The sequence below is a fragment of the Homo sapiens genome, chromosome 10, assembly GCF_000001405.40.
Source record: "Homo sapiens chromosome 10, GRCh38.p14 Primary Assembly".
Lineage (NCBI taxonomy): Eukaryota > Metazoa > Chordata > Mammalia > Primates > Hominidae > Homo > Homo sapiens.
The window spans coordinates 55,620,074-55,643,319 of record NC_000010.11 but is presented as its reverse complement, the minus strand read 5'-3'; the positions used below and the strand labels follow the sequence as shown (position 1 = coordinate 55,643,319).

Here is a 23,246-nt window from a genome sequence, read left to right as displayed (position 1 = left end):
TAATGGTCTACCTTCTCTTACTAGCAAATACAATTATTTAAATTTTTTTCCAAAAGAAACTAAATTAAGTAAATTTAGTCAGGGGACATACTTCAGAGCATATTTTTGGTTAATGCTAATTTTTAATTTTATGTTTGCCTTTTTATATAGGGCTATTTAGATTCCTATATTATTTTGTTTTTACATACATTTATTGCACAATTTTAATTTTAAATTTTACCTAACTACAACTGCATGTTTTAAACTCCTTGGTACATAATATTTTTCAAACAATATTACTTCTTAGTGAAAAGCTAAAAATGAAATTATTAGGTCAAAAATATTTTACTAATTTCATATGTGAAGGCTCCATTTTGATATATTAGTTAGGAAATAAAGTATATTTTTAAAGCATTCTTTTTAGGTATATTCCTATATTAGACTTTTTAAATTACAGAGTTAATTATCACAGAATTATAATATGCTTTAACATTTAATATTTGGATTTTTTTCTATTACTTCTGGAACAAATTACCAAAAATGTAGTATACTGTTTTAGTACATTATACCAGTATATTAGTATTAGTAAATCAGTAAAATTAATATAGTACTATTTTCTGTTCCTTTATTGTCCTGCCTAAGTGCCTTATAAGAACTTTGAGCCCAGAATTTTTATCTCAGGATTCTTTGACAAACTACTGTAATCGGCAGATTAACATAGTTTTTAATGGTCTCCATCTCCTGGGATTCCAGCCCTTGTCTAATACCCTCCCCATGTGTGTGAGCTGGATCTATTGGCTTGCTGCTATTGCATAGAATACAGCAAACATGATGAGATGTTGATTCTGTGATTAGGTGACAAAAGATGTGACTTCTGTCTTTGACTCTTTTCAATGGCTTTTTTTTTTTTTTGGCTTTGCACATTTTGATGAAGAAAGCTTCCATGCTGGAGAGGCTCACATTATATGGAATTCTGGACAACACCTGTCAAAGTACTGAATCTACCAACAAGCATGTGAGTGAGATTGATTATAACTTGTGACAGTCTCTGAATAGAAGACCCAGATAAGCCATGCCCAGATTCCTGCCCCGCAGAGACTTTGAGATAATAAAGGCTGTTTTTTTTTTTTTTTTTTTTGGTCATGAAGAATATGTTTCTTATCTTTTTTTTAAATTTTATTATTATACTTTATTTTGGGATAATTTGTTATGCAGGAATTGACGAATAATATAAATACTTTTGAAATGTAACTTTTTTATCTTAATAAGCATTTAACAAATAATTTGAAGATGGATAATCACAGATACCTCAATTTTTACCAACATAACCAGGACCCTTCTTGTAACTTTGACTAATAAATGATCTTTTGAACATTACCATTTTGTAACTGCATTTTAGACTATGATTTAGTTGAATCACCCAAAGTGTGTAATGTCTTTTAATGTGCACTGTCAATTCTGTTCTGCCATAATGACCTCACTTTCAGTTCTTAACTATATTCATCTCAGTCTTGTGGGGTGACTGTCTCAAGAAGAATGACTGGTAATACCAAGAACTTCTGTTGTTTCCATAAATAACAGCCAGATTACAGCCAGAACCTCAAGGCTGAGCACAACCGCTCATGTTTGGAATCCCAGCCCTTTGGGAGGCCTAGACCAGAGGATCACTTTGAGGACAGGAGTTTGAGACCAGATTGGGAAACAATGCAAGATTTTGTCTCTGAAAAAAAATAAAATAAAATAAGCTGGGCATGGTGTCACATGCCTTTAATCTTAGCTACTCAGAAGCTGAGCCTGGAGGATTGCTTGAGCCCAGCAGTTCAAGGTTACAGTAAGCTACCATAACACCACCACATCCCAGCCTGGGTGACAGAATGAGACACTGCCAAAAAAAAAAAAAGAAAAAAAAAAGCCAGACCTCAGGATTTCCATACATTTTGCAAAATTCCATGCAAACTGCATGCAAATTTTGGGCTTATACAAATTTTAAAATTTAAAATTCATGGATCCTGCCAGACATTCTCAAATATTAAGGACCAGAGCTTAAGAAGACTAAGAAATCAAAGCAAGGGGCTGGACACGGTGACTCACGCCTGCAATCCCAGCACTTTGAGAGGCCGAGGCAGGCGGATCACGAGGCCAGGAGTTTGAGACCAGCCTGGCCAACGTGGTGAAATCCCATCTCTACTAAAAATATAAAAATTAGTTGGTGTGGTGGCATGTGCCTGTAATGCCAGCTACTTGGGAGGCTGAGGCAGGAGAATTGCTTGAACCCAGAAGATGGAGGTTGCAGTGAGCCGAGATTGCGCCATTGCACTCCAGCCTGGGTGACAGAGAGGGACTCTTTCTCAAAATAAATAAATAAAAATAAATAAGAAATCAGAGCAATGTATATTTCATAAAGTCAGTGAGAACTTTCATATATTTTAGAGAAGCTTTTTATAAGATACAAACCAAAGGTCCATGTTTTAAAAGTTATTATTGATTTATTTATAGATATATTCAATAAATATATACTTGGTGACTAGTATGTATGCTATGCTAGCAAATCAAGATACAACTAGTATTGTAACCCAAACCCTAACTTTACCCACTTTAGTCTTTTTACCCTAACTGTCCCCTAACTGTTTTTACTGTATAATAGGTTAGCTATGTTAGTAAGCGTGGCAACACATCGCAGTGTAGGAAGTGCTATAAGAGGAACTCAAGGCCCAATGGGAATATCTAGGAAGTGCAGCCAATGTAGATTTCCACAAGAAAGCTAAACCTTAGATGATCCAAGAAAGATAAAAAGATGCTAAACCATAAAGTGGAAGAAAGAAGGCAAGTTATATGAACAGAGAAAATTTCAACTGCAAAGATGATAGAGTGTGTTAAAATAAAAGCACAGAAGGCAAAGATTTAGTGTAATTTCAACATATTTTGTATGGAGGGAGAAATTAGAAGTGACATGGAATCAGTAGGCAGAGAATACATTATGAAGGGTCTGTCATGTTTTTGAATTTAAATTTATTTTGTTTTACATTTCTAATAGAATCAAGGGAAAAGCTGAAAATCCCTAGTTTCTAATTGAATGTTTTAAGAATCCTCTTATTTCTTTTAATTAAAAAACGGTCATTCAATTGAAAATATACACATTCTACCTTTTATGCATTTTGCTTTTAAGATATTTGAATGATTTATTATAATTTTACAGGCATTTCTCTTTTTATTCACACATAATTATGATATGCCTTGTATTTGTCATTATAATAGTTTTAAAATTATCAGTTAATATTTTGTCCACTTTTATTTCATATAAAAAATAAACATAATTGTTCCTGAAAATACAATATCATACAATTTAAATGTTGAATAAATGAAAAATGTTCTCAAACTGGAAAGTTATAATAATTCAGACTGAAGCCCTGAGAGATTCAAGGCTTGAAATGGCTCTTTGAGAATGGTAAGCGAGGCTTCAATCTTAAAAATATAACTTTACTTACAAATCATAAAACATTAATTGCTGTTTACTATATTTGTTTTCCATTTTTTTCCTGACATAGAAAAATAAATTACCAGCTACCACAGTTTTACCATAGACCAGTCTAATCACCACATAAGATTTACACTCTCTCTTTGCTTTGTTAATTACAGGCAAAACCTATATTTGAATGTTTTTGAGAATTTAATTTGCACTTAAATCACAACACTTCAATTTATCTTATTCATTTTGAGTTGCAGCTCTTTAAATATTGAATCTGTTATAATATTGCAGAATAGCTCACCACACTAAGAAAATTGCATTCCCAGTTTCTTCCCCTTTCAAAACACTCGTATCTGCACAAGTTGTCAAGAATGGGCCAACTCCCTTGTTTCACCATATGCTTTTCTCTGTTGCAACAAGACTGAGATATGTATGAGGATAGGGACACAGAAGATGTCAATACATATTTTCAAAGAGTACATAAATGAGTGAGTAAATAAATTAGGATCATTTGATGAGGATAGCCATCAAATATGTTGAACACTGATACTCAGAATTATAAAAATAACAATCATCAAAGTAAAACCTTAAGCCTTTAGGTCATAGATCTCATGTTAATTAGTTTACCACACATCAGGATCTGACCTTCCTTTTGGAAGATACCAATGCTGCTTTTGTCAAATTTTGAGGGGCTGACTCATGCTTAAAACACACATAAAATGCAGTCTTATAGTATCATAAATAAATAAAATATATCATAGAGAATAGTAATTGGTTGAAATCGGTAGATTGTCTCCCTCTGATTACTCTATATGAGAAGTCAAATTATAATCAGAAACAGGTTGAAAGTATAAAGGGAGAAGGTCAAGCTACTAAAGACAAGGAGCCAGGGTTCCCTGATGGAAGCTAGAACCATTTAGAGGACAGGTAATGGTGTAGATGCTACCCATAGCCGAGGCAAAGTAGGAGGAACAACCTAGCTGTTACTCTTTGGGCACCGGCCAATCTCCTACACACTAGCTTTCATTGACTGAATCTGATCTGAAGTCAGTTGGCAAACGAACTTGAAGAAATATAATTTGCAGTAGTCAGCCCCTGAAAAACAGGGAATAACTAGGGGAAAGATGGGAAACATTCAGAGATAAAACAGGCAAAGGACCAAGAGTGGAATCTGAGGGTAGAGAACTTAACTGTATCTGCAAAAGAGACCAGAAAAAGAATAAAAACTTTGGAAAAATCATTAAAGTTCTCTTTAATCATTTTTTGGGCAGACTCTCACATATGTTTTCATTCAATACATCATGTTTTCAGTATTACCTTGTTTAAAAAATATACTGTGTGTATATTTATGTGTGTATACATATGTATATATATACATACATAAATATATATGTGCATATATATGTGTAAAATACACATTTTCCTTGCAATTAGTTCTTTGATCTATACAGTTTTAGAAGAGTGTCACATAATTTTTAAATATCTTCATGGTAGTTTCATGCTTCTTGAAGTTTTAGATATCTTATTAAAATTATTTATAATTTAATTGCTTGTGGTTAAAAATTTACTCTATGTCATGTTTATTTATTTAAAATTTTGAGACATTTTATGTCTCTGCAGATAACCTACTACGGGTAATGTTTCATAAATAAATAAATTCAAACTATGTAGTTGTTGGTAATATTATTCTATAAATGTCAATTAGCTAAAATTGATTGATCATGTTGAAATCTTCTATACTCTACTTATATTTTGTTTCCTTTTGTCAATTACTAACAGAGAAAGGTGTTAAAATTCCAGCTACATTTCAGTATATTATTTTATTTCTATCAAATTTTGCTTTATGTATTTTCAATTTCTGCCACTGGGTTCATAAAAATATTGATCTTTTATTTTTATTGGTGTTCCTCTTCATCCCACGAAATACTCTTTTTTCTTGATATCTACCTTATCTGACATTAATATAGTCACATGGACTTGGGTTTACTGTTTGCACGGTATAATCTTTCCAATCTTCTGCATTCTTCTTGGCTGTATCCTTATACTTAAGCTATTTTTCTTATATATGGAATATATAAAGCTTTTTTTTAAAAATCCAGTTTGAAAATATCTGATTTTTTTTTTTTTGAGAAGGAGTCTTGTCCTGTCTCCCAAACTGGAGTACGGTAGTGCGATCTCTGCTCACTCCATCTCCTCCTCCCAGGTTCAAGCGATTCTCCTGCCTCAGCCTCCTGAGTAGCTGGGATTACAGATGTCTGCCACCATGACCGGCTAATTTTTGTATTTTTAGTAGAGATGGGGTTTCACCATGTTAGCCAGGCTGGTCTCAAACTCCTGTCCTCGTGATCCACCCGCCTTGGTCTCCCAAAGTGCTAGGATTACTGGCATGAGCCACCATGCCTGGCTCAAAATCTCTACTTTGAATTGAATTGTTTAGTTATTTAATATTTACTGTGGCCAAGAAAATGGTTATTGTCATCTTATTTGTTTTTCAATGTGTTGTGCCTCTATTTTTGTGCCTTTTTAGTTTGTTTCTTTATTCCTACCTTCGTTTGGGTTAAATACTTTAAGCATTTAAATTTATATTCTCTGTAGACTTTTTTAAATATCAATTTGGCTTAACTTCTAAAGGTTACAAAACAATATGATATGCATACTTAACTGACCCCAGTCCTTGTTCAAAAATGTTTACCACTATAAGAAAGTAAAAACCTTTCAATGGTAAAATTCTACCCTACTTACTCCTGTATTTTTAGTTATCCTCTATTTTATATCTCCATGCTTTATAAATTCATGATGCATTTTGTTAAGTTTTCTTTAAATACTCCATAAATGTTAAGAAATTAGCAAATTTATAGTAAAATGCCCTTTTGTAGTCACCTATACGTTTACCTTTTCCCTTTCCAGCAGTCTTCATTTTCCCCTGTGTTTTGGGTTTCTTTTGGTATCATTTACCATCAATGCTTTTAATATTTTTTTCTAGTGCAAATCTGCTGAACATATAATTTTTCTCATTTTGTCTCTTTCTGGAAAGATTTTATATTCATTGTAAAATGATATATTTTTTAAAAATACAGAATTCTATTTGACTATTTTTCTAACAGCACTTTAAAGATAACAGGGAAACGGAATTACTAGGGGAAAGATGGGAAACATCTGCATTCTGTTGTTTCAGATGAAAAGCCAAATATCTCATTTCGATGTTTCTTTTTCCATATTCTGTAGGTGCTTTTAAGTTGTATACCTCAGTGTGGTTTTCTTTATATCAGTTCTATTTGGGAATTGCTGAACTTCTTCAATGTTTGGGAAATTCTCAGGTATTAGCTCATCTAATATGTCTTTACTCACCAGCTCTACTTCTTCCTGAAATCCAATTAGAACTATGTTTTTCCTTTTGCCACCAAACTATAAATCAGAGACACTTTTATTATTTTTTACCTTTGTGTTTCTGCATTAATTTTTATGGATCAGTATTTAAAGTAACTGGTAAGTTCTGCAGCTAACTTCAGTCCATAGTTAAACCCAATGAAAGGACATCTTAATTTTTGCCTTTCTGCTATAGAATATCTAAGTATTTCCTCTTCAGAGTTTCCAATGTTCTAGAAAATTCCCCAAAATGTTCACATAGTTTTCCCTTTTTATAGCAATAAATTCTAATAAATACATCATTATTATTCTAAAGTCCTTATGTAATAACTCCAATATCTGGATCCTTTGTGCATCTGCATCAATGACTACATTTTTGTCTTGTTTATATACTATTAATATATGTTCTTATTTTTCCTAATATAGTAGTTTATATTTTGTGATTGTATCCTGGATATATATACAAGAACAATGGAAAACTTGGCAAATAATATTTACACACTGAATATAATGTTCATTTCCTCATCAGGCCATTAGGATTGGGGTTCAGGCCATTAAGATTGGGGTTCAGTCCATCTGATGCAGTCCAATTTTTGTGCCCCTACCTATATGTGTCTGCCAAGAGACCTTTTCTGCTGCTTAGACCCCAACCTGCTCCTTCCAGAATCAGTAGACTCAGCCTTTTGTTTGCCACATGGTATCTTAGAAGGATGGACTTGTGTAACTAGTATTTTTCTATTAGTCATGTCTCTTTCAGTTGAAAATCACAGAAATTCAACTTAAATTGGTTTGGGTAGAAGAATAAAAAGAAAGATAGTTGATAGAAAAATAGAAAGGTAAATAGATGAATGGATAGTATCTATTAGCTCATAAAATTAAACTTCAGAATATAAAGTGACACTATTACGCCTCAGAGATATATTTAACAAGGAAGTCTAATGTCTTTAACAGCCTCATGTTTCTCCTGGGTTCTACCTTTGCCTCCATTCCCACCGCCTGTAAGTAAGACTCTCCCAAATATCACAATAGCCGTGGCTCCAAGGCTTCACATTCCCAATAGAATGAAAACAAAAGTAGCCCTTCAATCTTGCTGCTCTTATTAAATATCTCCATGGAATGTCTCCAATCGGCCTAGCTCACTTCAACATTATGCTTGATCCAGGTTCAGACCAATGACATTTATTGAAAATTGTAGGATCTATTCTCCCTATATGATCTGAGTAGAAGCAAAGTAAAAAGTAATAAGAGACAGAGGTTCTGAATGTAAAAACAAACTTACACTTTATTATATACTCTTGGAGCTGTTTGAAAGGTATTGTTTGTACCACAAGCATAGTTTTATCAAAAATAATAATTTGAGAAGTAAAAACCTCTGAAGAAAAAACTAATTTTTCTCTTTGCCCATTGATCAGAAGCAATCATATTGAAATATCTATTTTGTCTGTGTGATACAGCAATATCAATCTAGCCCAAATATTATAATGCTGTTATTGCAACATAGCAAAAAGACAAGACAAAGAAAAAAATGGTAACACAGGATGGGCTGCAGTACATATGTAATCCATCCTTTGATTTTTACCTCTGTCTTGTATTACTCATGAAAAAGAAGGGTTCATAATTTGTGGCTCAGTGTTTTGACATCTAAACTAATCATAGGCCAAACCCAGGGGCTCACATCTGTAATCCCAACATTTTGGGAGGCCTAGGCAAAAGTATTGTTTAAGCCCAGGGTTTCAAGACTAGCCTGGGCAACACGGTGAGACCCCATCTACAAAAATGTTTTAAAATAGCTGGGTATGGTGGCACATACTAACAGTGCCAGCTACTTGGGAAGCTGAGGTGGGAGGATCATGTGAACTTGAGGAGGCAAGACTGCCATGAGCTTTGACCCTGCCACTGCACTCTAGCCTGGGTGAAAGAGTGAGGCCCTCTCTCAAAAAATAAAATTAAATTAAAAATAAAATAATTATAAGTTAGAAAGGGGCTTTAGTTTCATGGAACATAAGTTTGTCCTACTAGATTCAAATTTGTTGTTAGAAATTGGGTGCTATTTTCTCTTCTTCCTTCTTTGCTTCCATTCTTTCCCTATCAATAGAAAAAGATTTAGGTTTATGTTACAGAAACCATAAATCTTATTATATACTGTAATCACATTTCTCTATTCAAGTTGCCTTATAGAAAAAAAAAACTTGAATAAGATTTATAGCCAACTGTTACCAAATGTTTAGTGGCATGTGCTTTATTTACTAACTTCACTCCAGACTCCATACTTTTGAGTTATTATTTTCACTTGACTGCTATTTTATTTTAATGAGATGGAGTCTCACTCTGTCACCCAGGTGGGAGTGCATTGGTGCAATCTCTGTTCGCTGCAACCTCCGCCTTCAGGGTTCAAACAATTCTCCTGCTTCAGCCTCCTGAGTATCTGAGACTACAGGCGCGCACCACCACTCCCGGCTAATTTCTTTGTATTTTTAGTAGAGACAAGGTTTCACTATGTTGGCCAGGCTGGTCTCAAACTCCTGACCTCAGGTGATCCACCCGTTTTGGATACACTCCTCCCAGAGTGCTATGATTACAGGCATGAACCCCCGCGACCAGCCTTGCTCTCTTAACGGTTTACTTTGCTTGCTAAGGCATGTGTTTAAGTATATTTTTAAAGAAAAAGGCAAACTGATAGAGTAGAAAAATAAGCATATAAATAAGCCATTTGAATTTATATGTGATTTTTTTGTAAAATGACAATAGAGGGCACATAAAAGCGTATTTGTTACCTAGTTCCTTTGCCAGATGTAAGTGGATTTATTAGTGTAGGAGAAATAGAATCAGTGTCAAACTTCCCCTAGATTACTTTCTTTTGACTCCCAAGGGCTTCTTATTTGGTCTTTGTAGATAACCTTCTTCTTATTCAGAGGTTGATCACTGACTGAAAAGTACAGAGGTTAAAATGCGGTTTCTGACTCAAAAAGATCTGCATCAGTGTATTACTTTCCTAATCCTGCTGTGACAAATTATCACAAATGTAATGGCTTTACACCACACATACTTTATCTTAGTCTGTAGATCAGAAGTGTGACACAGATCTCACTGGGTTGATATTGTCCACAAGGTGCTGACCTTCTCTTAGGGTGAATCTGTTTCCTTGCCCTTTTCTAGCTTCTAGAGGCCACCCACGTTTCCTGGCCCATGCATGCCCCTTTCCTCCATCTTCAAACCCAGAGATATCAATACTAGGTTGATTCCTTACCACACAGCATCATTCTGACCTCCTCTTCTGCCTCTCTTTTCCAGATTTTAGGCCTGCTCCAATAATCTAGGATAATCTCCCTATTTTAAGGTCAGCTGATTGGGAATCTTAATTCTATTGGCAACCTTGATTCTTTTTTGCCAATATAACTTTAAAAATTCACGGGTCCCAGGGATTAAGATGTAGATGTCTTTGAGAGACCATTATTTTGTTTATCACAATCACATCCTGAACTCCAGACTTTGATCAGCATATTGCCTCTCCAGCTCTTGGAATCTGTCCACAGTATTACAACCTTTGAAAGCTTCAGTTTCCTTATTTACAAATGGGGATAATCATCCTGACTTCACGGATTTGTTGTTAGGAAATAATGTGGCCATGTGCATAAAAAGTTTCATGTAGAACTAAACAAACAAGAAATAGTCAATAAATGTTAGTTATAGTATTTCTGACAAATACAACTGAAGGAATGGGACAAACAATTAAAAATGTACATCTTTTTATCTATTCCTCCTAAATTTTCTTAACTTGTTCATTGGCTATAGTTAGTGTAAGGGTAATTGGGAAATGTTTAAATATAATTTGAAGAGGCATATCATTAAGATCATTGTTATATTTTAGTACTGTTGCCATAATTAGTAATCATAAAACATCGGGTTGTTTAACAGTATCTCTACTACTGCTGCAGAGCTTGACACAGCACGAGTGGGCCCACAAAATGCTAATCACTGTCCAGACAGACTCTGTGGACATTTTAAGGATGCTAGTACCATCCTGGCATCTGCCATGGAAGCAGATGCTATTTGCATCTGTTTGCTATGACAATCACTGATGATGGCAGAAAAAAACATCTACATTTTAAGACAATCTGTTCAAATATTCAAGAACATACTTGGCTTGTCAAGGCACTTTTTAAAAGTTGTTGTAAGAAATGAGATTTATAGGAAATATAAATTATTAAGCTACCAATACATTTTTTTCTGAGTTTACTACTACTTGTGAATAAATATGTTGAGTATGGTTTCTAATCAATTGCTCTGTTGAATTCTGACACAGTTTTTGAGAGAGAGAGAGTAAGGACATTATTTTTCTTTTGACTTACACTAGAACTATTGACTATATTTGCCATGTACTGTGAATTTGAAGCTTATTGTTTCTATAAGTTTATATATATATGTGTGTGTATATATATTTATATCTAAGAAAATGAGTTTCATTATTTTTATAACAAAAGCAGGTTATAAGTGGAAATTCAATACTATGTACTGTCCTGTAAATTTAATCCATCAATTAGTATTAAAATGTACTTTATTATGTGTATTAAACCAAGGTTATTTTCACTATTTTAGAAGAGAAAATAAATAAAATATATTAATTATCTTGTAGAAGAGAAACAGTTGTTAGTCTACACAGTACTACAAATCTTGTTTCTTTGACTTGTCAAGGCATGAAAAAAAACAAAAAACAAAAACAAAGGCAAGGACGTGCTTAGGTTACATAAGGCAGCTTTGCTATGATTGATCGCAAACACACAGTAAGTTGATCCTTCTGGGCATAGTCAAGGGAAGTTCCTTTCCTCGGCGCTTTTGGAAACGTGATCCTATGAGCCCTGGATTGTCAGAGTCCACGCTAACTGTGTGCTAGTTAGTACCCACCCTGCTGTGACCCTAAGGTCGACTGTTACCCGGGGAGTCGGGAGGGGGAACAGGAGCAAGCAGGAGCCACGGAGCGAGTTGGGATGGAGAGAATCGGCCTCCTGGGAAGGAAGCAGGAACAGCAGGTGTGCCGACCTCCTCCTTCTACTGGCGCTCTTGGGCACCGCGCGGGGAAGGCAGTGGCGCACCAGCTGCAGTTCCCGGCGCGCCCGGAAGCGCTGGGGGAGCCCTAGGCCCGCGTTTGGCCACCCTCCGCCGGTGCTCCGGGCTCGCGGTCTGGTGGAAGTCGCAGGGTCGCCCAGAGCCCTTTCGCTCTGTTCGACTGGCGAAGCCGCCATGACTGAGCGGAAAACACTTGTTTCCGGACGCCAAGACTTGCGCGCTCCGGCCGCGCGCTTTTCTGCCTAGGAATTGGTGACGAGGGCCGAGGGCCGCCGTGCTGGGGGAGGTTGGGCAGAGGCTGGGGTGCCGGGGCTCCCCTCCCTGCAGCTCCCGGCTTCGCCCAGTCCCGGGCCAATCGAAAGGGACAGCAGAGGATGAGGTCCTTTCCGCATCCTTTTGAGTGGAAACCGATTACACGGGGAGGGAGGTAACAGTTCTTGGTAGAAAATCTCCCACGAGCGATTCTGCTTTTGTTGGTGTCGTTCCTCCTTTGGGAAAGCGCGTCAACGGGTCAGTGTAGATCCAGACAGAGTTTTGTTCCCGGAGACTGGATGTGTGGGTGGGCGCGGGGCTGACCCTGCGGGACAGGGAGGGGTCAATTCGGCCAAGGAGTACCCTCTCCACCCACCATGTGAAGGGCGCCGTTCGGGTCTGGCCATGGAGTCCCCGAGAATCTGATCTCCAAGGGATTGGAGTGACCCCTTCATCCTGATGTCCCAGTGATCACAATACCCCACTAGCCTCCTGAGCCCGCCCGGCACCGCAGGCTCAGGGCTAGAAGGTGGTTCTTGCCGCGCGCCGTCTGCGGGTGCGCTGGTTGCGTCCGCCTTTGCATCTCGGTTCCTGTCCGCGCTCGCTCCGCACCCAGGCTGAGTCAGGAATACAACCGAAGATTTCCGACTATGCTCCCCTGAGCTGGCCAAGAGTAATGTTCCCTGAAATCATGCCCTCCCAAAAAGCCTCAAAAATCAAGGACATGGGAAGTGGGGTTTGGGGTGGTGGGTTGTGGTCGCGGAATCCAGGAAAGCCCTCCCCCTCAACCCGAAAGCATTTTGACAGAGTGCTAGGCTTGGAAGACCTGAGACTTAGTGAGAGCAAGGAGTGTGAGCGTCAACCAAGCAAATTAACTGTCCCCTGATTTCTTAGAAAATTTCACCGGAAACATTTCTATGAAGAAAAATTAAAGTCAGTTTATGTTATTGACGCTTTTCCATAGCCCTTCAATGTTTTTCTCCCCATCCCCACTCCCGACTTCTTTCTGAACCTTCTGGGCGTATTCTTCGCAGAGCAAAAATGCCGTAACTGTTGCCAGTTTCCGAAGTTTCTAACGCCTTTTGACAGTCCTCTTCGTCAAGTTTGGTCAGACTCTCCCAGTTCAGGACCAACATCAGAGGATGCTCTAGAAGTGGCGCCTGAGAGCCTACCGGTGAATGGCCCTGGCTAGGAAGAGAAGGAGGTTACACAGGAGAGCCTACAGATATTTGTAAGCTCTCTTAGTGATCAACCTTCCCAACATAAACGCGCCAGCGCACACACACCAAGTGAAAGAGAGAGACAGACTCCTTGACCGCCGCTAGAGGGAGGGCCGCTGGGCAGTTGTGCAAAAATGAATAAATATGGACCCTGCTGTCTGGCAGAATTTGTGTTTATGTCACTTTAAAAATACTATTTTTATTTGACAAATCATAACTGTTATATAGTTATGGGATACATTCTGATGTTTTGATATTTGTATGCAGTGTGGAATTATTAAGTTAAGCTGATGTCACTGTTGAAAGGCTTCAAGTGACTAAGCAAGGAAGACCCTACCTTGGTTAGGCTGGAACTAAACAAGGAAAAAACGTACAGCTATAACTGCCTTTCACGGGTTCCTTTGGTCTTGAGATTCTCTATTCTGTTTACCGATTCTTCACTACTTCCTACACAACAAGTCTCAAGGTGCTCAGCACAGAACCTGGGCTCCTAATAGCACAGACAATATTTTATATATACATATGATATACAGATAATACACACACACACACACACACACACACACACACACACGTATTTCCTCAAAGGAATTGTAGGAAAGGACCACAGTAATGTGAATTCCGTTTTTTTCCACCTCTGTTTGATACTGTGGCTTTAAGTAATAGCTGATATACCATGCAAAAACGTAAAAATAAGTTGGAAACATAATTGATCACTTTAGACAGGAAAAAATAAATCCACTTTCCATTATATTTCTGAGTTTTAGAATTTAATTCTTCATTGTCTATCTGGAAATAGTTGCAGAATCCTCAGAAAATATCACTTATAGAAGGGTATTAATATAAGAAATACAACTTCCTTGTGCAAAGGCTCTTAAAGTTACTAAAGGGCGTCTAAGTATGCAAATCGTCTTAGAATGCAGGGTAATGGTCATTTGAAGACATTTGAATACTTTCATCCACTGTGACTCTGAGTTAGGAAGTAGACAGTGGGGGTTAAGGAAAGATTGAGTATTATCTTGATTGGAATTTCAAGACAGGAAAGTCTAATCCCTTTCTTGTAAAAGACATCTCGATGGATTTCAACTAACCTTGAGAAACGAATCAGAATACCTACTCAAACCAGAGCTAAAGAGAAAGTGTTTTTTTTTTTTTTCTTTCTAAAAACCAGGTGTTGAGCTCCTTGGTAACCCAATACTGGGTGCGCGCGCGCAGAGTGGCCAGACCCCTCTCCACGCAGCTCTGGCTCTTTTTAATTCGGCAAGTGCACTCACAGCAGAACTGCCACCAGTATAACGTCTTGACGATGGGCTCCAGGGTTTGACACTCCGCAGCGCCACCAGCTCTGTTTTCTCCCCAAGTAAGCCACTCTACCTCGCGAGCAGCAGATCGCCCTGTGCGCGCTACAATCCGTGGGGCGGGGAGACCTGGCGCTCACCCAGCGAGCTCGACTGGTGCTGACGTCCATTCAGGCCTTTAAATGTCTCTGTCCCTGCGCAGGAGGGAACGGACTTTGTAGCAGTCACTTTGCCCGAAGGGCGACGCGTCTCTGCTTTTGCAGGCGGCAGCTCGGACTCCCCTCACTCTTCCCAGCGTTGCGTTTGCCTCTGTCTTTGCCTCGAGTTCCCCGCAGCCTCTCCAGCGGGAGGCGCTTTTGGTATTCGTACCCTGGGCATGAACCAACAGGACTCCCCATGCCCTGTGCTTTTTCAGTGGGTTCGAAGATCAGAGATTGCGAGGTGCTCTGGGTGATCGCTCAAGGAGCAGGGAGCTTCCTCCCCCTGATTTTGGTAGGGGGTGATTTTTTTTTTACCCCGAAAAGCGTCCTCCCCGCTCCTGAAGCTGCAACTTGTTTTGGTTTCTTCTCAGTCCTGTGTGTGGTTACAACATCAAAGTTTTTCTCCCTTACCCTTCCAAAAATCTATCCTTTTAATCCACCCTCCTCCCCCCGCGCTATCTCCGCCAGGCCTTCTCGCTGTGCGGTGAGTGGATAGCGGGCGCGCAGTGTGGCAGTGGCGGCGAAGATTGGCGCTATCAGGAGGAGCAAAAGGGAAGGATCTGCTGCTGGGGGCTCGCTGGGTGACCCTTTGCCAGACGAAAAGAGCTGGGTAAGGCGCAGAAGAGGAGCCGGAACCTTCTGGGACCCTGGTGCCTGACACTGGATTTTGATCACCATCCTTGTGTGTCTCTGACCCTTTTTTTTCTCAATTGGTAACTAGTCGAGAGAGAAGCGCTTGGCAGGAGCTCTCTGCGGGACCTAAGCTCCGTGGCTGCTCGGGATCCCTACGTCCGCTGCTGCTGAAGGAGCAGAGGGGAGGACGCCAGCGGTTGCTTACTGGAGCCTGGAGGTAGGCAAGGGGGTGGGATCCTGATTCTCAGCCCAGATTCCAAAAGGGTTTCTGGTTTCATGGAAACATTCTTCTCACCCTCATTTGTCATCGCACACCCCACCCCCGCTTTTCAGATTCAGGTTCAGGAACAACCAAATCCGTGGCACCCTCACAAGGTGGAAGTACCTTTCAAAGCTCATCGCCTGAATGTCTCGCTCCTTACATGTATGTGTTTGTGTTGGGGGAATGTGAGCTTCTCGGGGAAGTTGATACCTTGCAGATTTTGAGAATGTCCAACTTGATTTTATTCAGTTTCTTAAAGGTTGTGTTTCCTGTGGGCAAGAATTATGGGAAATAAATGTCAGTGTCATATACAACTGCAGTAGCAGCTCAGAAATCACCTTCATTTCCCCCCAAAAGTTTTCCCCATGCAAGTTTTCTTAATGTCCACATGTAGTGAATGGAGACTTGGCTTGTTCCATTATATGTAAACGGGGAGGGGGTGGGGGGTTACATCCTTCTCTTTTAAGTTGGAGGATATCAAAGACATTAGAGTTTCTCTCCTTTATCTCTCTCATCGTTATCTCTAGCTCTAGCTCTCTTTCTGTCTCTCACTTTCCTACCATCCTGACTTCTTTCCTTCTTTATCTTCTCTTCCTTCTCTCCTTCCTTCTTTCTCTCTCTCTCATTTTCTTTCTTTCCATGTGCTGCTCATTAATAAATATAATGTGAATTTAGAGAGAATGGAACACTTTTGCAATATACAGGGATGATAAAAGACTTCTTTCCTACCTTGCCTAAAGTTTTTATTTAAGTATCTGATCCTTTTTAGTTGTGAGGTAATTTGAAGGATGACTGAACTAGTATCTTGGGTGCAATTCAGCATGGTAAGATTTTGTATACAGTATGTTTAATTGTTCCCAACTCTTACACATTAGCTAATAACAGGAATTACATGAATTGTTAGAAAAGGCCCTTGATTTTTGGCAAACAATATTTTTGAACTGTGGGGAAATGTTAAAAATCAATATTACAATTTACGTGGCAAGCATATGGATTCATAGGTGTAAAGAGAGCGGCAAGTTAACCTTAAGAGAGTGGTTTAATGAAAAATCAGTGCCTGGAATTTCATATCTACATACAGTAATCAGTGAAATAAATGAACCCGTTAGTATTCAGATCTTGAAATACTTGGTTCCATAAAGACACTACTGTACATTTTATTTCTGATCTCATTTGTGGGAATAGAATAATATTAGACGGTTTTATCCACTTTTTCACACATGCGTGCTGTAGATTTCGGGATATCCTATAAAGCAGTGGGAGGCAAGATCCAAGATCTGGCCTTACTAACATTACCATCTCTCCTCTGCAAGGATCCCTTTACATTAAACTGCAACTAGTGGAATCTGGAACTTGAACTGCTGCTGCTGCTTTGTGCTTGCTTGCTTTTTTATTTTATTTATTTATTTATTTATTTATTCTCTCTCTCTCTCTTTCTCTCTCTCTTGCTTCTGTACACTTGTAGCTTCCAGTCTGAACTTAAATCTCCCTCTGTGCAATGGCCCTTGTTACTTGTATTCTTTCTCTTAGGGCAGCTCACAGTTGGGTTGCCCTGAATTAAAATAAATTAATCCTCTGACAGTATAGTTTATACATTTCCTGGGTATATACTACGTATGCCTAGGCTTCCTGCTGAACCAGGTGTGTTGGAGGACATGGAGAGTATAGGGAGACCAGAGTACCACGAAAGTGGTGAGAGTAGGACTAAATTAGGAAGATGGACAGTACTTAAGGAGAATTAGGACAGTGTAGAAGAGGAGGAAATAAAACAAAAATCTGAGAGGTGTGTGTATGAGAGAGAGTGTGTGTGTAGAAGATGGATTATCTTCAGCGGAAATCAACCTTATCTTAAATCTGCATGAGCAGGTTTATCTCAAAGGGCAGATTCTTTGCTTGGTAAATGCTTTGAAAAGACTTTAGAATCCCAAGGAGGGAAGAACAGATCTCATTTGTAACTATTGACTTTCAAATAAACTGTTTAGTTCCAGGCTCTAGAACAGTTTTTCTCAAAGTTTAGTGCCTGAAGATGCTTAACAATTGAGATTTACAACTCCTAACACACAAGATACTGTTTCAAGAGGGTCCAATTAATTGCATATCTAACAGGATGGGTGATTCCAGTTCTGCTAGTTCAAGAAGTATTCTATGAAATTTACAGGCTTAGTGTTAATGAACTTGATTTTTGTGAGGGAGGGTGTCATACTTGCATGTTAATCTAAAAACTTTCCCTAGTATTTATCTTTTTGAAATTTTCTTGTTTTCTTCTATCAATGCCATTATTATTGTCATGGCTGTCCTATTAGAAGATGGGTATTCTCAAATACCAAAATTTTATCATTTGTATATTTGCAGCCTTGGATGGTGGCCCTTTGAGATTTAAACCAGGAAGCACTAATACTGAGGTGACAGAAATGCTTCAGCATTATTAAAATCTTAAGTTAAAAAAAAATCAGTGTACTGATGGCTTTGGTTAGATGATAGCTTTAACTAAACATTATGATTATCACTTTCTCACTGGAGAGAGAAAAACTTTTTAAATTTATTCTCACCTTTTAATTTCATATATTTACATATTTATCTTTTTCCCTACAAATGCAAAGCAGTTCAGGTCACTTTCACGAAATTACACAAAGAGAAAGTAAATTTAACAGTGCCTACAATCATTTTTTTTCTAGTAAATTTCTTCATTTCCATTAATAAAACTTCACAAAGGTAACATAAAAGTGAAAGAGATGATTGATCACGTTCTGAACCCAATGGTGAGTCTGGTCATTTTATTGAGTCTATTTTTGAAAATAACATCTACATGAAATTCTTAATTTTTCCCACTCTTTCCAGCCTAACGATGTTGGTCATTCATTACTGTGGTCTTCAATCTGTGTGATGTTCATTGACACTGTGGTGTCAGAGTTCTAATTTCCCCCTTTTGTACTATTTTCATATACAGTGCTATTTTACAGAACATGTTTTTGTCATCATAAGCATTAGAGTTTTCTATTAATTAAAAAGTTTGCCCAATAACAGTGCAGCATCACATATCAATAGACAAAAAGAATATTGTATTTGCTTATTTTCTTTAAATAACCACTTTAGTCAACTGACATTTCCCAGTTGTCTTATGCTATATCAAAGTGTCGGGTGGCTTCTAGTTTAAACTATCTACATGTCGAAATTAAAAAAAAATGCAGCTTGCATGCTTTAATGAAACGTCCTCTCTAATAATGCATGTAATGGAATAATGTGAATTATAAGCTTATTCTTTAATTTTTTTTATTGAAGCTCTAATAATCTCTTTTGATATTTGGTTGGTGTTACACTAAGAATTTGGAACCCTGGGGAAAAAATTAGGAAACTAGTTTAATTCTCGGAAAATAAACTTAACCTAAGAGAAGTTTGTTTTTGCTTCATATTAACCACAAATCACAGGCATTATGATTGATATATTGAGATTGACACATAGTGACAGAGCATCCAGAATTTCTGCCACAGTTCAAGGGCTTCTTTGTAAAATAATTACACAACTGATGGCAAACACAATCAATTTCTATGTAAAAAAATATAAAGAATTTTGTTTTGCTGCTCTAGAAATTCATTTTCTTTTCACATAGCCCCTTTCCCCATAGGGTGAGAGAGAGAGTAGTCCACAGGATGCCACTATTGTGATGCATAGTATTTTGAATAATTTTACCCTTGAGCCATCTTTAGCTACATTAATACTAATGGAAACATTGACTTTTCTCCAATGATAAATTTTCTGACACTTTTTTTCTTCAAGCCAATGGATATCTATTAGAAGGTGTTAGTGCCCATTTATTGCCAAAGACTGCCTTTTTCAAAATAATCCCCCAAGAGGATCTAGTAGCCACCACTCCTATCTTTTCTCTTCTCTCTTCATCCTCTGTGCTCTGATGAAAATCATATTATATCTATAGAATATGTATATATAATCTCTTGAATTGATTTCACATAAATCAGAAATATATATTTTTCATTAACTATAGTGTTATATATATTCTCATCCCTGTCCTATGTTCATAGAATGAGAATGGCTCTTCTTCCACATACTACATTTGCATTTACATTGAATTCATCCATACTACCCAAAAAAATCCATTCACACTAATAGTGATTTAATGGATTCCTTAACAGGATTGATTTGTGTTTTAAAAGAAGATCACTAGAAGAAGACAAATCTTAACACACGTCTCCCCTGAAGGTTTTCAAGTCCTTAGACAAAATGAAAAAACAAAACAACAACAAAAAAACCACTACAACCTAGTCTCACAAACCACAGCCACTTGTATGTAAGTCCAGTCCTACGACCTAGTTAAGGCCTGAATCTGTTTGATATCCTGTGTCTGGGAGTGCCAGAGCCTATTCAAAGTCTTCGGGTACAAATAAGAAATAACTTGTGTAGAAACTCACATTTTAACAATGAGAATAGGACATTAACGTTAAAAAATATATAGAGCAGGAGGTGGAATCCAGGGACTAGCGATACTTCGGAAAGGTCAAACACATGTTCGAGAACATGTTTGAAAATATGGAAAACAGGAGGCGGAATCCAGGGACTTGAGATGCTTCAGAAATGTCAAACACATGTTAGATGCTCTGTCTTGGTATGCCATTTCTTGGTATGCCATTTGCTCAGTTTTATGAGTGGGATTAGACTAGAAGACAGCTCTGTGGTACAGAGAGCAAATCCAAGAGGCAGGAGAAATCATAATGCCTCGGTCCAGCCCGTATTTTATTTAGGAGTGGGAGTGGGGAGAGGACATTTGCCTGCAGTTTCTGGAGGTTTTTCTTTTGCCAGTGTGAGAAATTATTTTATGCTATGCCAACTAAAAGTTTGATTCCTGGTGAGAAGTGATTACTTTTTCTTTAATTCATAAAACTATTTCATGATAGTCTTCTAAGAATTGTACTTCTTTGGTTACTTTACAGTGGAATTCTTATGGTTGATCAGCCATTCAATTTAAATAAAATATCTTACATTTTATGAAAAATACTCTTACACTAAGATGTTTCTGGACTGCATCCTACAGCTGAGTAAAGTTGGGTAAAATAGAAATATTGGCCTATGTTTTGAAGATGAACAAATCATTAGAAATGATTTATATAACTATGTTTTTTCATTTTTCTAAAGTTCTTATTTGTGAATGCCTCAGTTAGGTCTCCACCTCTTTTTCAGTGTTGAATTCCTTTCAAGAATGAAGAGAAGAAGTGAAAGGAAGTACAATTATCAGTTTTGACTTAAGATATTTAACTGTGGGCCAGGCGCAGTGGCTTATGCCCGTAATCCCAGCACTTTGGGAGGCCTAGGCTGGCAGATCACTTGAGCTAGAGTTTAAGACCAGCCTGGGCAGCATAGTGAGACCCTGTCTACATAAAATGTATATATATATAATATATATAATATATATATTTATAGATATATATAATATATATAATATATATATTTATAGATATATATAATATATATACATTATATATAATTTATATATATTATATATACATTATATATACAATTTATATATATATTATATATACATATATAAATATTTATTATATATACATATATAAATATATATAGAGAGAGAACGAGAGTATATTTATATTTAACTATGAATGATCTTTAAAAAGGGTTTCAATGTCGTTTCCTCATTTTTTATACATTCTTCAAATCAGAAAATCATGTATATGTTAGTATATATGTCCACATATACATATGATGTTAGAGTTTTTTCCTATATTTATTGAACTTTTTTTTTTGTAATTACCACATGTACCCTTTTTCACCTTAACACAGCAGTCCTCAAACTTTTTGGCACCAGGGACCAGTTTTGTGGAAGAAAATTTTTCACAGACCAGGGATGGCTGGGTGAGTGGATTGTGGGGATGGGGGTTATGTGAAACTCTTCCACTTCACATCATCAGGAATTAGTTTTAGATTCTCATAAGGAGTGTGCAACCTATATCCCTCACATGCGCAGCTAACCATAGGGTTCCTGGTCCTATGTGAATCTAATGCCGCTCTGAGTTCTGACAGGAGGTGGAGCTCAGGTGGTAATGCCACCCACCATTACCTTTCCCGCAGGTCACCACCTGCTGTGAGGCCCAGTTCCTAACAGGCCATGAACAGGTAACTGGTCTGCAGCCCCTGGGGTGGGGGACCCCTGCTCTGGGGTGCGGGGACCATTGCTCTGTTGGCAGTGTGGTTTTCCACATTGCCAACAAGGACAGACTTTTTTGAATAATTAATAAATTATTAAATAATCTGTGGGCTTCACTCAAAATGCTTCTATAAAGAAATTTTTAAAAGGACAACTAACAAATAGACATGTTAGAAACCCATAATTTTCCAGTTTTTATTTCTTCTTTGCTAAAACATATAAGTTAAATTCTATTCATATTATTATCTCTACTGTACATTCTCCTAGATTCCAATATGCTTAGGAGAGTAAAAATTGAGTTTAGCAATGTTGTGATTAATAATTTGATGAATCAATAGAATCTAATTCCTGTTTAAAAATGGTTTTCTAACATAAACATAATATATATATATTCAGAACAGTTTTTACTAATGCATTATGTATTAAATTAACATTTGCATGACATGTTATGTTCTTTAAAATGGGTTCATAAATGTATGACAAAATTTTAAATTATTTTTAATTTTAAAAGACTTTAGCTGCAAAGAGGTATACATGAATTTGAGCTGATATCATTTGAGTTGTATTTTATATAGTATTATTTAAAAATTTTAGGAGCATTGAGTTCTTAAAACTTAATATAATTGAAAAATAATATATTAATTATTGTACCACTGCTAGATTATATATTATTTATGGCTTTGCAATATACTTGAAAACCTAGTACTTCATATTTTTAATTGTCTTATGTCTCTAGGAAACATTCTACTACATTATTGAAAATGGAATTGAAAATTTTTAGGGTGCAAATATTCAAATTTCCACTCAGAATTATTGTTTTCCTCCTAAAATTCTAAAAGTTATAATAAGTAAATGTAATAATGTAATAACTAAAATGTGACATTATAATCAATGGGCATTATGATTTGCTCTCTTTAAGGTTCTGAAACATGTATTAACTAAAAAAAGAGTAAATACTTTAAACTTCTGTAGATGTGTATTCTTGCTGACCATTTTGTACAAATGTGAGGGAATATAATCTATTCTCTATTTTTATAACTAGAGCTATAAAATATATAACCTGTGCAAATGCTTGTAACACACATGCAAAAAAAAAAATAGTTTTTCAAGAATGCTTACAATTCCCAAGCTTCTCACAGTTATTCACTTTGTGAAATATGTCATGTGTTCTTAGCTTTAAGAATGTTTTTCAATTGGTATTTAGAATACATCTGGACCACAATATACTGATGACATTTGGCATGTATTAAGGAATAACAAACCCATTTTTAAACATCCTATTTCCAAAAATAACGGGTTAAATTTGGTGAAACAGTACAGTGAATCTGTATTA

The 23,246-nt window shown here is 37.0% G+C and overlaps 1 protein-coding gene across 1 annotated transcript in view, besides 1 other annotated feature; it reads left to right on the top strand.

The window, feature by feature from the left end:
* Positions 15,072-15,882: an enhancer, noted in NCBI's record as "H3K4me1 hESC enhancer chr10:57387198-57388008 (GRCh37/hg19 assembly coordinates)". NCBI's record gives its function as "activates a minimal SCP1, AML or CMV promoter by ChIP-STARR-seq in primed H9 embryonic stem cells {active_cell/tissue: H9 hESC(primed)}" and the evidence as "EXISTENCE:reporter gene assay evidence [ECO:0000049][PMID:30033119]".
* Positions 15,378-23,246, top strand: part of PCDH15 (protocadherin related 15) — a 1,825,172-nt gene continuing 1,817,303 nt past the window's right edge. The window contains exons 1-2 of the mRNA NM_001354404.2: positions 15,378-15,455; positions 15,567-15,695. The gene's annotated coding sequence lies outside the window, so the exon portion shown is untranslated. The remainder of the gene's footprint in view (positions 15,456-15,566; positions 15,696-23,246) is intronic.